We start from the raw sequence: 16,977 nt of genomic DNA on the forward strand, positions 1-16,977 counted from the left end.
CACCACACCCAGCCCCTCCCTTGGCTCTTAAGAGCCCCTCCTCTCCTTTAGATCCCTCCAGATGGTCCAATCTTGTGCACTAGCACAATAGGCAATAACTCTTGATATTGAATCAGCATGCTAGTCATTTACATAATCTCTTTCAAATACACCTTCATCATCTAAGTGTGCTTCTTTTCTTTTTTTCTTTTCTTTTTTTTAAGGACAGGATCTCACTCTATTGCCCAGGCTGGAATGCAGTGGTGCGATCACAGTTCACTGCAGCCTCAATCTCCTGGGCTCAAGTGATCCTCCCACTGAACTTCCTGAATAGCTGGCACTACAGGCACATACCACCATGTTCGGCTAATTTTTAAAAATATTTTTTATAGAGATGGTTTCTTGCTATGGTACCCAAGCTGGCTTCAAACTCCTGGCCTCAAGCAATCCTCCTGCCTTGGCCTCCAAAAGTGCTGGAATTACAGGTGTGAGGCACAATGTCTGGCCCTAAGTGTGTTTCTAATGCCATTCCAAATACCCTATTTGGAGTATTTTCTGTCAATTCTCCAGCACACCTGGGGAATCAAAATAAAGAAGGTGCTAATCACAGTTATTACTGGGAACCCTAAAACATTTTTCTGCATTTCTGGGTCTCCTCACATAGTCCTCACTTCCTGTAGCACCTCTATGGCAGTCCTGCACATCTTCACTTGATGGTGGGGCATAATGGGCAGGATAGTGATAAGCTCAAATGTACAGTTTCATCCCCATCCCAGCCACAGAGCCTCGAATTGGTTTCTGATTCCATACAACCTTAGAGGTTAAATCTCTAATTCCTTACAAAAGCCAGATTTACAGGAATAAATCTCAATAGTAACTACAAAGAAATCTGTACACTGGTTTCTGTGTTGTCCCTCTTAAAGATGGCAATATTGCAAGGTGGCTAAATATTAAAAGGAATAAAGAATGCTCACTGGCAAAAGGCTTTTAAAGTATGTTCCCTCTATCAACGCACAAGCATTCATACTATACTCACCTGGCACATGGACACAAGTAAACGTTCAAAATGTCCTGATGTATCTGACCTAATGTCCTTTTCAAGGTCTCGTCCAAATTCTGACTGATAACATCTGACAATTTCTCGGATTTCCTGATTTGTTCTTGTGCACAAAATCTCAATCAATACACGTTCCTGAGTTCCTGCTCCCTACATGAAATGAAGGGAAGATTATACAAAGAAAAATGAAATTTCTGCAAGTAATTAAATCTTCGTCAAATATTTCTTTGTTCTGTAGAACTAAAAACTATATATTCAGATGGATGATGTGAAATAAAGAATTGCTTTAATTACCACTGTAAATTCAGAACTGTCATAATTTGTACGGTTTTACATATGAAATAGGACAAAATATTCATAATAAATGACATATAGTAGTACCTGCATTGCTTTCCGTAAGCTCCAGGCATCGTAATACGTAGGAGGCATGAAGAGGGCCAGGATCAGTTCTTCCATATTTCCACTTAACTCTGATTTGAGATCTTTGATTAAATCCTATTTAATCACAAATACAAGCTAAGTATATGTGTTCTCCAAATTTTGTCACTTAAATCTTTTAAGGAAAATACAAAAAAAGAAATGGAATTGCTTTATAAAAACCTAAATTTGAAAGCTGAATGTTAATATACTAAGAAGTAAATAAAGGCCAGGCGCGGTGGCTCATGCCTGTAATCCCAGCACTTTGGGAGGTCAAGGCAGGAGGATCATGAGGTCAGGAGATCAAGACCATCCTGGTTAACACGGTGAAACCCTGTCTCTACTAAAAACACAAAAAATTAACCGGGAGTGGTGGCAGGCACCTGTAGTCCCAGGTCCTCGGGAGGCTGACACAAGAGAACAGCGTGAACCTGGGAGGCAGAGCTTGCAGTGAGCTGAGATCGCACCACTGCACTCCAGCCTGGGCGACAGAGCAAGACTCCGTCTCAAAAAAAAAAATAAATAAATAGAAATAAAAAAGAAGTAAATAAATTTAAAGTCTGTTACACTTACACATTTATTACACTCAAGCAGATCTATTTTATTCATTCTATCAATAAACATTTAATAAAATCTTATTCCACTCTACCAGGTACAAAAACAAGGGATATATGAAACAAAGAATTATTCAAACTGACAAAATGATAAACAGATATTTACTTAGTAAAAGGAACTGTTCTTGGTTCTATGAGGAAGTAGAAACCATTATCATCTTGTTCTTATTTGTTTTTTGTTGTTATTTTTTTTGAGACAGAGTCTCGCTCTGTGGCCCAGGCTGGAATGCAGTGGTGTGATCTCGGCTAACTGCAACCTCTGCCTCCTGGGTTCAAGCGCTTCTCCTTCCTCAGCCCCCTGAGTAGCTGGGACTACAGGCACATCCCACCACGCCAGGCTAATTTTTGTATTTTTAGTAGAGATGGGGTTTCACATGTTGGCCAGGCTGGTCTTGAATGCCTGACCCCAAGTGATACACCCGCCTTGGCCTCCCGAAGTGCTGGCATTACACACATGAACCACTGTGCCCAGCCGATATTGTTCTTATTTGGAAAGATACACATCTAAAAAAAAAATAATGTAAGGTAACCTGTACTCTAGCACTGGGTAAGTAGCATAGAAATAAGTAATAGAGAAAGTTGAAACAGAAAAAGTTCAAAGTCAGCTGGAGAGCTCAGAGAAAAATGTAAAAATTAGCATGCAAAGACGAAGGAGAAAGGTATTTCAGGTAAGAAGGAACACCACCAAGGAACAGAGAAGGGGTTCCCAGCCTTGACTCTTCATTACATTCATTGTGGAGCTTTAAAAAAAAAAAGAAAAACATTGATGTCCAGGACTAAGACTCAGAGATTCTGTGTATTTTTAAGTTTTAAAGGAAATTACGATGTTCAGTTAAGGTTGAGAATTACTCGTATAGAGCCAAGAATGAGCAAAGCTTGTTCAATGGAACAATAAGACAACCGGTTTTGCTACAGAGGAAGGTTTTCATAATAGATGAGTTAAAACAAAGTTGTAACTAAATCTTGGATTATTACACTGAATGCCAAGCTAAAGAATATGGACTTGATTCTGTTTGCTGGGAGGAACCACTGGAAACTTTTCATGCAAGAAAATGGCACTGATGTAGCAACAATATTCAGAATGGATGATGGTGACAAAGAAGCTATAGATGAAAACATTTAGGCTACTGGAATATTTAGTTAAGAGGTAATAAAGTCTTGGACTTGAATGGTAACAATGGAAATGAGAAGGAACAAAGTAGACAAAAGAAACATTTTAAAGGGCCATTTTATAGATTAGATCAATAAAAACTAGTAAATAACCAACTGCTAGGACAAAGCATACAGAATACTCCCTATGATAAAAGAAAAACATGGACTCAAAGATGACTATAGCAGGCTAGAAAAACAGTGTTTTACTAATTAGGAAGTTAAGAAAAGAGGTGGCTAGTGGTACGGAAATTAGATTGTTAGTTTTAATTCTAAAGCAATATATAAAAAAACTTGAGACAGCATTGTGCAGACTAGATAAAAAATTCATAACATGGAAAATATCTTTGTGAGAATAGTGAGTCTGATGTTGAAGCTTAAGGAGATCTAGGGTTTGTGTTGCATAATCAGTCACTGGGCTGGGCAGACAGGGAAAGGCAAAATAGAATAAGCAAGGTGGGACCAATCAATGGACCACTACCCCATTCTGAGAAATATAAACTAGATGCAGAGAACATTAGGATATTTTTAGGATTCCTATCTAAATGGCAAAGCAGGTCAGGCGTGGTGGCTCATGCCTGTAATCCCAGCACTTTGGGAGGCCAAGGCAGGCAGATCACATGAGGCCAAGAGTTTGAGACCACACTTGCTAACATGGCAAAATCCCGTCTCTACTAAAAGTACAAAAATTAGCTGGGTGTGGTGGCAGACACCTATAATTCCAGCTACTCGAGAGGCTGAGGCACGAAAATCGCTCTTGCCTGGAAAGTGGAGGCTGCAGTGAGCGGAGATCATGCCACTGCACTCCAGCCTTTTGAGACTCTGTCTCAAAAAAAAGTAAAAAAAAAAAAAAAAAAAGCAAAGCAGTGCTATCCATGTTTTCCCATTACATCTGAGGAACAATGGCATTTTTTAGCCATAGAATCTTGTTGGATTTAGAAACTGATCATCCATTCAACAAGTACTAAGTGGCTACTTGCCATTATATACTTGGTACTGTAATACAAAGATGACTATGACCATGGTTTGTCCTATGGGAGCTCAGTTTTTGGGGGTGGGCCGTGAGATTAGTAATAACAGAGGTTTTACAAAGTGCTATGGGACTACAGTATTAAGAAGCAGCTAAATTCTGTCCAGACTAATGAAAGAAACTTCAGAGTAGCTGATATTTAAGCCAAATCTTAAAGAAGTTTGCCATGAAAAAAAGAAAAGGTATTCAAGGCCAGGAGAATGGCATGTACACAACACAGAAGCATAAAAGATCATGGCGTGTACAGAGAATGGCAAGCATTTCCATATTATTTTTTTTTGAGACAGCGTCTTGTTCTGTCACCTAGGCTACAGTGCAGTAACACAATCACAGCTCACTAACAGCCTGACTTCCTGGGCTCAAGCAATCTTTCTACCTCAGCCTCCCAAGCAGCTGGGACTATGGACACACGCCACCACGCCCAGCTAATATAATTTGTTGTCATCGTTGTTGGAAATGAAGTCTCCCTATGTTGCCCAGGCTGGTCCTGAACTCCTGGCCTCAAGAAATTCTCCTGCTTTGGCCTCCCAAAGTGCTGGGATTACAGGCGTAAGCCACCACGCTCAGTCCATATAATTTTAACATAGGACACGTTTAGAGAAAGGGAGAGAAGCAGAAGGCGATGCCCAGGACCAAGAATAAACAAGGGCTATGTAATAAGCCTTGAATCCCACTGTAACAGGCAGAAGACTGAGAACCATCCTCTTGATCATGATTGTAGTTGTGATCTACTTTCTACTGAATGTCTATCACATATGTGACTGGGGTAAGGTATGATTATGAGATCAAGGACTACTCTAGAATGAAAAAGCCTTTTAAGAGAAATAGGCCAGGCATGGTGGCTCACGCCTGTAATCCCAGCACTTTGGGAGGCTGAGGCAGGCGGATCACTTGAGGTCAGGAGTTAGAGACCAGCCTGGCCAACATGGTGAAACTCTGTCTCTACTAAAAATACAAAAATTAGCCAGGCATGATGCTGTGCACCTGTAGTCCCAGCTACTCAGGAGGCTGAGGCAGGAGAATTGCTTGAACTCGGGAAGCAAAGACGGCAGTGAGCTGAGATCGCACCATTGCACTCCAGCCTGGATGTTGGTGCGAGACTTCATCTCAAAACAAAACAAAACAAAAAACAGAAATAGGGAATACAGTACCCTTGAGGTCTCTAAAGTCTAGTTGTCCCTCTTTTGCACCACAGGTACTAATCAAAATATAGTATCCAATCTGACATGAATGCAGAGTCTACCAGCCACTGCTGGTGCTCATTCCAGGAAAGAAAAACATACCTTGCCATAGGAGGTCTTAAATGCTGCTTTAATTTTTTGCCTCTGATCATTGGAACGGTTGGCCACCACATCCACAATTGCCTGCTCATCTGTCCCTGGAAGAACCACACATGTTTAAGTAAGGACAAAGTACATGCTAGGTGCTGCTTGAGGTCATCTTTTTTTTTTTTTTTTTTTTTTGAGACGGAGTTTGTCACCCAGACTGGGGGTGCAAGTGCAATGGTGTGATCTAGGCTGACTGCAATCTCCACCTCCCAGGTTCAAGCAATTCTCCTGCCTCAGCTTCCCGTGAAGCTGGGATTACAGGCATGCATCACCATGCCCAACTATTTTACTTTTTATTTTTAGTACAGATGGAGTTTCGCCATGTTGGCCAGGCTGGTCTTGAACTCAGGTGATCTGCCCACCTCGGCCTCCTAAAGTGCTGGGACTACAGGTGTAAGCCACCACACCCAGCCTGAGGTCATCTCTTAGAATGCTTACAAGGCACTAGACATCAGATTAAATCCAGGTATGCGCACCCAGGCTGACACATAAACTTGGGTTTATGAGATAAGGTTTATTTTTACTTTAGAACTGATTACTTTAACTTATTAAAAAAGACAAAAATTTGTTTTCCTTACCAAAACCCTTCATTGCCTTACGAAGAATTTCTGCATCTCTTATAGCATCGAAGTTGGCAGCTGGTCGGATAGTTCCTTGAGTGACCTGAGTCACTGTGGCAGGCTGAAAATAAAAGGCATAAAATCCGTGTCAGCATTTCCAGTAAGTTTCTAATGAGGAAACTTAAAGACTTCCCCAGACATCAATCTTAAGTAAGAAGGCCAATGTTTGGGTTTTAAGGCAAGGATATGAGCATTTTATTACCAGAGCTCATTATGGAACAGACAGGAAAGACCTATCCCCCTTCAGGACAGATTTTTCTCCTGCCAACAGATAGCCAGACACCAAACTTCCAGGAGACAAGATGGCCAAACTTGTGAAATTAAAGTCACAATCTTACTATAGTTTCCTTTTTGGTAGAATAGGAAGAAAAAAGAAGACTGATCCCTGAATGGTGTGAGATGAGCGACAATGTTTGATTTAAAAACAGAAGAATATAAAATGGCTTTAGTGAAGTAGCACATGAATGCCCAGTGAGATTTCAAACCAGCAATATAATTTTAGTAATCTCTCTTAATTTCCTATATGGACCCTGATTATTATACATGAAATAAATCTATATGAAAATTAAAAATTGCCATTTAGCAAATACTATGGTAGTAACTGTTTCAGGCAAGAATCAACAGTGGGTGCTAAAATTAGGTGGCAAAAGTATAAAGAAACAGGATATTTGTATAACCTATAACATTATAGCAGAGAAACCTTGCAGGCACCAACTTAAATGATCAAAATTAATTATCACCAGTAATGGAATAAGTCAATAATAAGTGTCTCCTGATATGATGCACTGGGGGCACAAAATCATTTCTGTGGTACTCTTGCCAAAAAGGCATGACCTGGATTTAACCATGAGAAAATATCAGACAAACCCAAATTAAGAAATATTTTATAAAATAACTGACAGTGTTCTTCAAAAGCATCAAGGGCATGAACAACAAAGACTGAGGAACTATTTCAGATTAAAGGAGACTTAAGAGACATGACAATAAATACAACATTGCATTCTGGATTTGATCCTGAACCAGAAAAAGGACATCATTGAGACAACTGGTGAAACTGAAATAAGGTCTGTAGGTTGGGTAACAGTACTATATCGATGTTATTTCCTGATTTTGATCATTGCATTGTGTTTATGTAGGAAGTTAACATTTGGAGAATCTGAGTAAAGGGTATATACAAATTATTTGTACTATTTTGCAAGTCTAAAATTATGTCAAAATTAAAAGATAAAACAATTTAAAATACAAAGCTATGAAATAATTCAATAGTTTCCCCCAATTTTTTATTTTTTAGAGATAGGCTCTCACTCTGTTGTTCAGGCTGGAGTGCAGTGGCACAAACATAGCTCACAGTAACCTTGAATTCCTGAGCCCAAGCAATCCTCCTGCCTCAGCCTCCTGAGTAGCTAGCACTACAGCCATGTGCCACCATGCCCAGCTAATTTCTTACTTTTGTAGAGACGGGGGTCTTGCTATGTTGCCCAGGCTGGTATCGAATTCTTGGCCTCAAGTGATCCCCCTGCCTTGGCCTCCCAAAGTGCTGGAATTACAGGTGTGCGGCCAGCCCAGAATAATTCAAGAAGTTTCTTAGGGTGTTCAAGTCAGGGCTTAAGAGGGATGGGATGAAGATGATGCTCCACTACTTTTTAAAAAAATTTTAATTGTAACAACACATTTCTTGTATGTTTGAATGTTGACCTAAAATAAAGATTACTGTTGTAAAATAAGTGTTTTCACTGCAGAAAACACACATATACACACACACAGTTTATTTAATCCAATACCTCCAAAGTATTATCATTTAAACATGCAATCAATACCATTTCAAAATAAAAGATGATTCAATGCTTTTTAGACAACAGAAACTGTATTTAAAGTTATACACATTGAATACAGCAGTACACCAGCATTTGTGGGGGCAAAGCAACTGAGGAGATGAGAACAAGCCCCATCTTTCAGCAGCTTTTCAAGATAACACTTTTATGGGTCAATAGCTCCTCCCACTCATATATATTTTTACTCCAACATTTTCTTCTACCAGTAAGCCTTAGCATCCATCCTCTACTAGTTTCCAAGCTAGGGCTGTAAGCAGAGAACTAACAAATATACCTATAGTGGTTTTAATAGAAAGCCAAAATTATTCTACTTGTAGCAAATAGTCGAGTATAAAAAAATTTTATAAGCCTTCATGTCTCAAGAAACTAAGTTTCCTTTGATGTAACCGCTGTCACTAAAATCCTAAATAGGACAGAAGCCATTGTTTCTAATACACTGGAATAGATAAACTAACCCTCACTGTGTACCATTTGATGATTCTCATTTTCTGTGATTCTCTTTTGTAAAATATATATATATATATATATATATATAAAAATATATATATACACACACACACATATATATATATTGATTTCATATTTCATCTGTAGGGAAAAATTTTTTTGATGTATTCTCTGCCGAAAGTCTAAGTTTGAAGTAAATTTTCAAGAATACTGTCATCTTCCAGGCATTAAACTGAATTCAAAGAAATCAGGATCTGGGCTGGGCACAGTGGCTCATGCCTGTAATCCCAGCACTTCGGGAGGTCGAGGCAGGTGGATCACGAGGTCAAGAGATTGAGACCATCCTGGCCAACATGGTGAAACCCTGTCTCTACTACAAATACAAAAATGCTGGGCGTGGTGGTGCGCACCTGTAGTCCCAGCTACTCAGGAGGCTGAGGCAGGAGAATCACTTGAACCCGGGAGGCGGAGGTTGCAGTGACCCCAGATCGCGCCACTGCACACTCTAGCCTGGCAACAGAGTGAGACTCTGTCTCTTAAAAAAAAAAAAAAAAAGAGAGAAATCAGGATCTGTGTTCTTGAGGTTAAATTCTAGGGGAGAGTTCTCAGCAAAATCTGCTACCAGAAGTTCCAACCTTTGCTATTCTTCTTTAATGCCCATTTGATTCCAACCTTCTTGCTGAAAAACTATCATAGAGCTGGGCACAGTGGCTCACATCTGCAACTCCAGCATTTTGGGAGGCTGAGGCAGGAGGATCGCTTGAGCCCAGGAGTTCAAGACCAGCCTGGGCAACACAGCAAAACCTTCATCTTTACCAAAAATTAAAAAATTAGGTGGGCATGCTGGTGCACAACTATAGTCCCAGTTACTCAGGAGGCTGATGCAGGAGGATCGCTTGAGCCCAGCATTTCGAGGCTGCAGTGAGCTTTGATCACGCCACTGTACTCCAGCCTGACCCGAGCAGCAGAGTGAGGCCCTGACTCAAAATTGAACAAACAAATGAAACAACAACAACAACAAGACTATAACAGAATTAGAGAACTGGATCAATCAGGAGGGATAAACTGGCCCAACTTCCCATCTAAGACAAAAATTTTTTTTACACCTTCCTTGATACACACAGACACATCCATACTCAACATCAACCAAAATCTGCCTGTGGACTTTCAGTGACAAGAAGCTCACCCCTCACAGGGTAGCCTATTTCACTTCCATCTAAAAGCTCTTCCAAAATCTAACACTCTGCATTCTGTTAACTTCTACCTACTGGTTTTAGTTCCAGCTTAAGGTGGTAATTGTTGCATAAAATAAGTTGCATATGAGACTAATAAAAAAGGAAAAAGAGAAGAATTAAATAGACGCAATAAAAAATGATAAAGGGGATATCACCACCGATCCCACAGAGATACAAACTACCATCAGAGAATAGGATGAACACCTCTATGCAAATAAACTAGAAAATCTAGAAGAGATGGATAAATTCCTGGACACATACACCCTCCCAAGACTAAACCAGGAAGAAGTTGAATCCCTGAATAGACCAATAACAGGCTCTGAAATTGAGGCAATAATTAAGAGCCTACCAACCAAAAAAAGTCCAGGACCAGACAGATTCACAGCCGAATTCTACCAGAGGTACAAAGAGGAGTTAGTACCATTCCTTCTGAAACTATTCCAATCAATAGAAAGAGGCGGAATCCTCAGTAACTCATTTTATAAGGCCAACATCATCATGATAACAAAGCCTGGCAGAGACACAACAAAAAAAAGAGAATTTTAGACCAATATCCCTGATGAACATCGATGCAAAAATCCTCAATAAAATACTGGCAAACCGAATCCAGTAGCACATCAAAAAGCTTATCCATCACGATCAAGTTGGCTTCATCCCTGGGATGCAAGGCTGGTTCAACATATGCAAATCAGTAAATGTAATCCAGCATATAAACAGAACCAAAGACAAAAACCACATGACTATCTCAATAGATGCAGAAAAGGCCTTTGACAAAATTTAACAGCACTTCATGCTGAAAACCCTCAATAAATTAGGTATTGATGGGACGTATCTCAAAATAATAAGAGCTATTTATGACAAATCCACAGCCAATATCATACTGAATGGGCAAAAACTGGAAGCATTCCCTTTGAAAACTGGCACAAGACAGGGATGCCCTCTCTCACCACTCCTATTCAACATAGTGTTGGAAGTTCTGGCCAGGGCAATCAGGCAGGAGAAAGAAATAAAGGGTATTCAATTAGGAAAAGAGGAAGTCAAATTGTTCCTGTTTGCAGATGACATGATTGTATATTTAGAAAACCCCATTGTCTCAGCCCAAAATCTCCTTAAGCTGATAAGCAACTTCAGCAAAGTCTCAGGATACAAAATCAATGTGCAAAAATCACAAGCATTCCTATACACCAATAACAGACAAACAGAGAGCCAAATCATGAGTGAACTCCCACTCACAATCGCTTCAAAGAGAATAAAATACATAGGAAGCCAACTTACAAGGGATGTGAAGGACCTCTTCAAGGAGAATTACAAACCACTGCTCAACGAAATAAAAAAGGACACAAACAAATGGAAGAACAAGAACATTCCATGCTCATGGATAGGAAGAATCAATATCGTGAAAATGGCCATACTGCCCAAGGTAATTTACAGATTCAATGCCATCCCCATCAAGCTACCAATGACTTTCTTCACAGAATTGGAAAAAACTACTTTAAAGTTCATATGGAACCAAAAAAGAGCCCACATTGCCAAGACAATCCTAAGCCAAAAGAACAAAGCTGGAGGCATCACGCTACCTGACTTTAAACTATACTACAAGGCTACAGTAACCAAAACAGCATGGTACTGGTACCAAAACAGAGATATAGACCAATGGAACAGAACAGAGCCCTCAGAAGTAATACCACACATCTACAACCATCTGATCTTTGACAAACCTGACAAAAACAAGAAATGGGGAAAGGATTCCCTATTTAATAAATGGTGCTGGGAAAACTGGCTAGCCATATGTAGAAAGCTGAAACTGGATCCCTTCCTTACACCTTATACAACAATTAATTCAAGATGGATTAAAGACTTAAATGTTAGATCTAAAACCATAAAAACCCTAGAAGAAAACCTAGGCAATACCATTCAGGACATAAGCATCGGCAAGGACTTCATGTCTAAAACACCAAAAGCAATGGCAACAAAAGCCAAAATTAAGAAATGGGATCTAATTAAACCAAAGAGCTTCTGCACGGCAAAAGAAACTACCATCAGAGTGAACAGGCAACCTACAGAATGGGAGAACATTTTTGCAATCTACCCATCTGACAAACGGCTAATATCCAAAATCTACAAAGAACTTAAACAAATTTACAAGAAAAAAATCAAACAACCCCATCAAAAAGTGGGCAAAGGATATGAACAGACACTTCTCAAAAGAAGACATTTATGCAGCCAACAGACACATGAAAAAATGCTCATCATCACTGGCCATCAGAGAAATGCAAATCAAAACCACAATGAGATATCATCTCACACCAGTTAGAATGGCGATCATTAAAAAGTCAGCAAACAACACGTGCTGGAGAGGATGTGGAGAAATAGGAACACTTTTACACTGTTGGTGGGACTGTAAACTAGTTCAACCACTGTGGAAGACAGTGTGGCGATTCCTCAAGGATCTAGAACTAGAAACACCATTTGACCCAGCCATCCCATTACTAGGTATATACCCAAAGGATTATAAATCATGCTGCTATAAAGACACATGCACACGTATGTTTATTGCAGCACTATTCACAATAGCAAAGACTTGGAACCAACCCAAATGTCCATCAATGATAGACTGGATTAAGAAAATGTGGCACATATACACCATGGAATACTATGCAGCCATAAAAAGGATGAGTTCATGTCCTTTGTAGGGACATGGATGAAGCTGGAAACCATCATTCTGAGCAAACTATCGTAAGGACAGAAAACCAGACACCGCATGGTCTCACTCATAGGTGGGAACTGAACAATGAGAACACTTGGACACAGGATGGGGAACATCACACACCAGGGACTGTCGTGGGGTTGGGGTGGTGGGGAGGGATAGCATTAGGAGATACACCTAATATAAATGACGAGTTAACGGGTGCAGCACACCAACATGGCACATGTATACATATGTAACAAACTTGCACGTTGTGCACATGTACCCTAGAACTTAAAGTGTAATAAAAAATAAAAATAAAAATAAGTTGCATAAGTACATGTGATTTACTTTTAGTGTTTCATGTTTAAAAGTCATTCATATTCAGTCGTAAAATGATTTCTCTAAAATTATATGCATGCTTAAACTAAAATCAAAATTTTCATAACAAAAGTGATTACAGGTTTATAATATGATTGGCAAACAACTTCAACAATGAAAAAAAGGACTGAAAGCAACTTACTACATGCTTGGGAGGAGTATCATTTACTGTATCAGCAAAGCAACTTTGTATAAGAGAGAGACCGCTGGTCTAGAAGGCAGAAGATATAGACTAGAATCTTCTCAGCTTTGTCCTTCACTAGTTGTGTTGCCCTAGACAAGTTTCTCAACCTCTCTGGAGCTCACATACCTCAAATCAGGAAAGTGAGCTAAAAAAATCACTAAGATGTTTCTCTTCCAATACTAGAATCCTTCTCCTACCCCAGCCTAAAACAAGCTTGAAAATGCTAGACATTCATGAATATCCAATATAGAAATCAATAAGAAAATCAAAATAAAAGTAAGCATCAAGTATACTGCTTATTTTGTTCCTAGTAACTTGCATAGGCTATAAAAAAATTAACAAGGTAATTTAAGAATAAAATTTGGGATTAAAATAAGAAGCCAGGCCGTGCGTGGTGGCTCATGCCTGTAATCCCAGCTCTTTGGGAGGCCGAGGCAGGTGGATCACCTGAGGTCAAGAGTTCGAGACCAGCCTGGCCAACATGGTGAAACCCTGTCTCTACTAAAAATACAAAAAAATGTGACAGGTGTAGTGGCGTGCGCCTGTAATCCCAGTTACTCCGGAGGCTGAGGCAGGAAAATCGCTTGAACCCGGAAGGTGGAGGGTGCAGTGAGCCGAGGTCGTGCCACTGCACTCTAGCCTGGGTGCCAACAGTGAAACTCCATCTCAAAAAAAAAAAAAAAGAAGCCATACGGAGTAGGGCAAATATTTGACATATAGGAAACTCTGCAGCTAATGAGAAAATCCAGTCAACAGACTAACTGGCTACTATGTCTAAAGCCCTACCTATTATTACAGGAACACAAAGATAAAATAGATACAGGTGAGCCCTTAAGAAGTAGTGAGAGACAAGTACATGAGAATCAGAAACAAAGGCACATATAAAGGACCTAGTGATTAGTAAACATTAGAAAACCTTACTCACTTCACTGCTATAATCCAAAGAAACAGGAGAGAAAACAGGATAGGAAGAAAAAGAATCTGTATTGATCTGAAAAAAGAGTGAAAAGTTATAAAGGTAAAAATGGGAAACAAAACCACCCTACATAAATCACTGTCAGAAATACCAATCACCCAGCCACCCAAATTCATAGGTGTAACTGCTGGTAAGGGCAAGGAAGAGGAAAAAGAACTAAAACCAAGACCCCAGGTTAATCTCCAGGATAAAGTTGTGAGAATCATTACCTATGAGAATAGACCTATGCTTGTCTTCTCAAAGTCATCAGGACACTATTAAAGCAGATGGACCAAAGAAAGTATGGAGTCTATCAGAAGTAAAGACTTTAGTCTTCCATTACTATAATGGGCCATTTCCTCCGACCCATGGAAACCTCAGCAAAGGATAGGTTCCTTCTTTATCTAGCTACCTAGAGTGAGCTTAAAAGGTAGGAACAAAATACCTGACTAGGGTAAGTAGGTTGTCCTCCAGGATACTGAGAAGGCATCTGTCCTCCAGGAAAGCCACCTATAATGTTAAAAAAAATAATAATAATACGGCAACAGGTCTTACATGTTTTAATTTTTCAAAACAGCATTGATGACTATGAATATGGAAACATACAAGAACATTCACACTATGATACTTATGAGGATAGTTTTTAAAAATATAATTTACTGAATCTAAAACCAACTTTGGTCATAAGAACCTTTTTAATATTCCATGTTCTACATAAGATCCTCATAAATAATACTTTTTTCACACTTGAATCAGATTAAATTCTGAGTCCACCTGGAATGGTTGTCAGAATACAGTTCTGGGGGTGGTTTTACTATTGGTACAGGAGTGGGCAGAGAAGTTCCTGAAGGCTTCCTTTTGGCTTTGGGACAGATTTTTTTAATAGAAAAAGTGTGACTTTATCTCTATTTTACTGATTAAACTTTTCCATCAATTTAATATATTTCATAAAACCATTATGTTTAAAATTATTTATGGAAATATAAACATTTATTGCAGATTATCTCAAATATAAACTAAGTTCCCTCAATGGTGATTTAAAAACTCAAAATATCATGATACTGTTTTTTTCTGGACAGCTGGTACCTACCAGGTAGTGGAACCTGTGCTGGACCACCTCCATAAGACTGTGAAGGTGGCTGTGGATACCCAGAAAAGCCTGCTCCACCTGGTGGGACTCCAAATCCTTGGCCTGGAGGAACTAGAGAAAAGAACATGTCAATAAACTATAGTACAGTTCTCATGATTGCAGAAAAAACTTTAGAAAAATATCTATTGTTAACAGTGGAAAAATATGCTATTAATGCTATAATAGCAGTCCCTGTTTATCTAGATTCAAAACTTCAAATTCTCCAGTAAAAAATAAGTTTTTAAATTTTTACCTTATATATTTATTTATTTTTTGAGACAGTCTCACTCTGTTGCCTAGGCTGGAGTTTAGTGGCACAATCTTGGCTCACTGCAAACTCTACCTACCACGTTCAAGTGATTTTCCTGCCTCAGCCTCCCAGGTAGGTGGGATTACAGGCATGCACCACCACACCCAGCTAATTTTCATATTTTTAGTAGAGACAGGGTTTCACCATGTTGGCCAAGCTGGTCTCGAACTCCTTGCTTCAAGTGATCCACCCACCTCAACCTCCCAAAGTGTCGGGATTACAGGTGTGAGACACCACACCCAGCCAAAATATTACTTTATTACTCTTCCCTACTAACTTAAAATACAAAAGGGCTAAGGTTTTTTTGTTGTTTTTTGGGGTCTTTTTTACCTTTGAATAAAGCTGACCTAAAGGTCACAGTCTTGCTAATTGAAATGTCTTAATCAGGTCTTAAGACTACAAACAAGCAAAGTGTTACATATTGGTCCTTTATTGCCATGAAATTTATTCCAAGTCCCTTCACAGTGGAATTTTTGAAACTGCTCCCAGCTTTCATGTCCCCAGAGAATCTTCATCCCTCCATCTTGCCAGCTAGGTCCTTACTACCTAAGGTTACCTAAGAGCGACTTGACCTTATACAAAACAAGCAGGAATGAAGAGGATAAAGGGAGAAGGAAAAAGTGCTACAGCAATCCCAATCATTACTAATTCCGCAACCCGTAACTCACCTCCGGGATAGGATGGAGCTCCCCCTGGCTGTGGGGCACCAGGATAGCCTCCAGGGGCTGGATAACCTCCAGGCGCAGGGTAGCCTCCAGCTCCTGGGTAGCCACTACTTGGCACTTGTGGGTAGGCACCTCCTCCCATTGGAGGAAAGCCACTAGGATAAGGATACTGACCAGAAGGGGGAAAAGATGACTCCTGACCTGCAGGCTGAAAAATCAGAATAATTTTTAAACAAATACGATCATAGAGAAATATGACCCATCTAAAAATAAGGAACAAACAGAGGTTATTATTAAGGTCTACCTCATTCTTTTACTTTTTAAAAGTCCCATTAGAAATCCTGGTATCTTATACTAGTTTATCAGTATACCAGTTTGTAAGGACACTTGTTTGTCAGAATTCAGTTAAATTTAATTCTACTTGAGTCAGGCAAGAGGGGTCTGCTTCTCTATTTGGGAGTCAGAACAGGATTCTTTACAAACCTCAAGGTTTTAAGAAAAAAAAAAAACTCATCAGTTCCTTCATTTTCCCAGCATCTACAAATATGAGAAAGATCCTCCTCTATATCCTAAACAGAGGAATTTGAGGCTTTCTTGCAACACATCTGGATCTGTTACATAATATTTAAAAATAAAAAAGGTAACCTGTATATCACATCACACACCGGATGTGACATTTTGGACTTCATGGTTCAGAGCAGCAATATGCAGAGTGGCAGAGATTGTTGCATGTTCACTGAACTCTTTCTCCCCAGGCCACAAAGCTATACAGACTACACTTCCCAGACCCCCTTGCAGTTAGGTCGAACCACATGAATGAATATCAGTAAATGAACATAGACAAAAGTGAGATACACCACTTTCTAAACCTGTCCCCTAAAAACCTCTGGCAAATCCTCCATGCTCTCTCTCTTCCTTCATCTGCCACCCATAAGCAGAGGATCCAGTGGAGGACTCCA

General features: G+C 39.6%; 1 protein-coding gene across 5 annotated transcripts in view; it reads right to left on the reverse strand.

The window, feature by feature from the left end:
- ANXA7 (annexin A7) overlaps positions 1–16,977 on the reverse strand; it is a 38,958-nt gene that overhangs the window by 7,059 nt on the left and 14,922 nt on the right. For 3 of the 5 annotated variants that reach the window (NM_001320880.2, NM_004034.4, XM_017016162.3), the window contains 8 exons: positions 16,022–16,226; positions 15,005–15,115; positions 14,360–14,424; positions 13,885–13,950; positions 6,153–6,255; positions 5,530–5,624; positions 1,418–1,531; positions 1,016–1,186 (listed from right to left, as the gene is read on the reverse strand). In NM_001320880.2, coding sequence (NP_001307809.1) covers positions 1,016–1,186; positions 1,418–1,531; positions 5,530–5,624; positions 6,153–6,255; positions 13,885–13,950; positions 14,360–14,424; positions 15,005–15,115; positions 16,022–16,160 — 864 coding nt within the window. In that variant the 5' untranslated portion in view covers positions 16,161–16,226. The remainder of the gene's footprint in view (positions 1–1,015; positions 1,187–1,417; positions 1,532–5,529; positions 5,625–6,152; positions 6,256–13,884; positions 13,951–14,359; positions 14,425–15,004; positions 15,116–16,021; positions 16,227–16,977) is intronic. The other 2 variants (NM_001320879.2, NM_001156.5) reach the window with 1 other exon arrangement.

This window comes from Homo sapiens, chromosome 10 (assembly GCF_000001405.40).
Source record: "Homo sapiens chromosome 10, GRCh38.p14 Primary Assembly".
Classification (NCBI taxonomy): domain Eukaryota; kingdom Metazoa; phylum Chordata; class Mammalia; order Primates; family Hominidae; genus Homo; species Homo sapiens.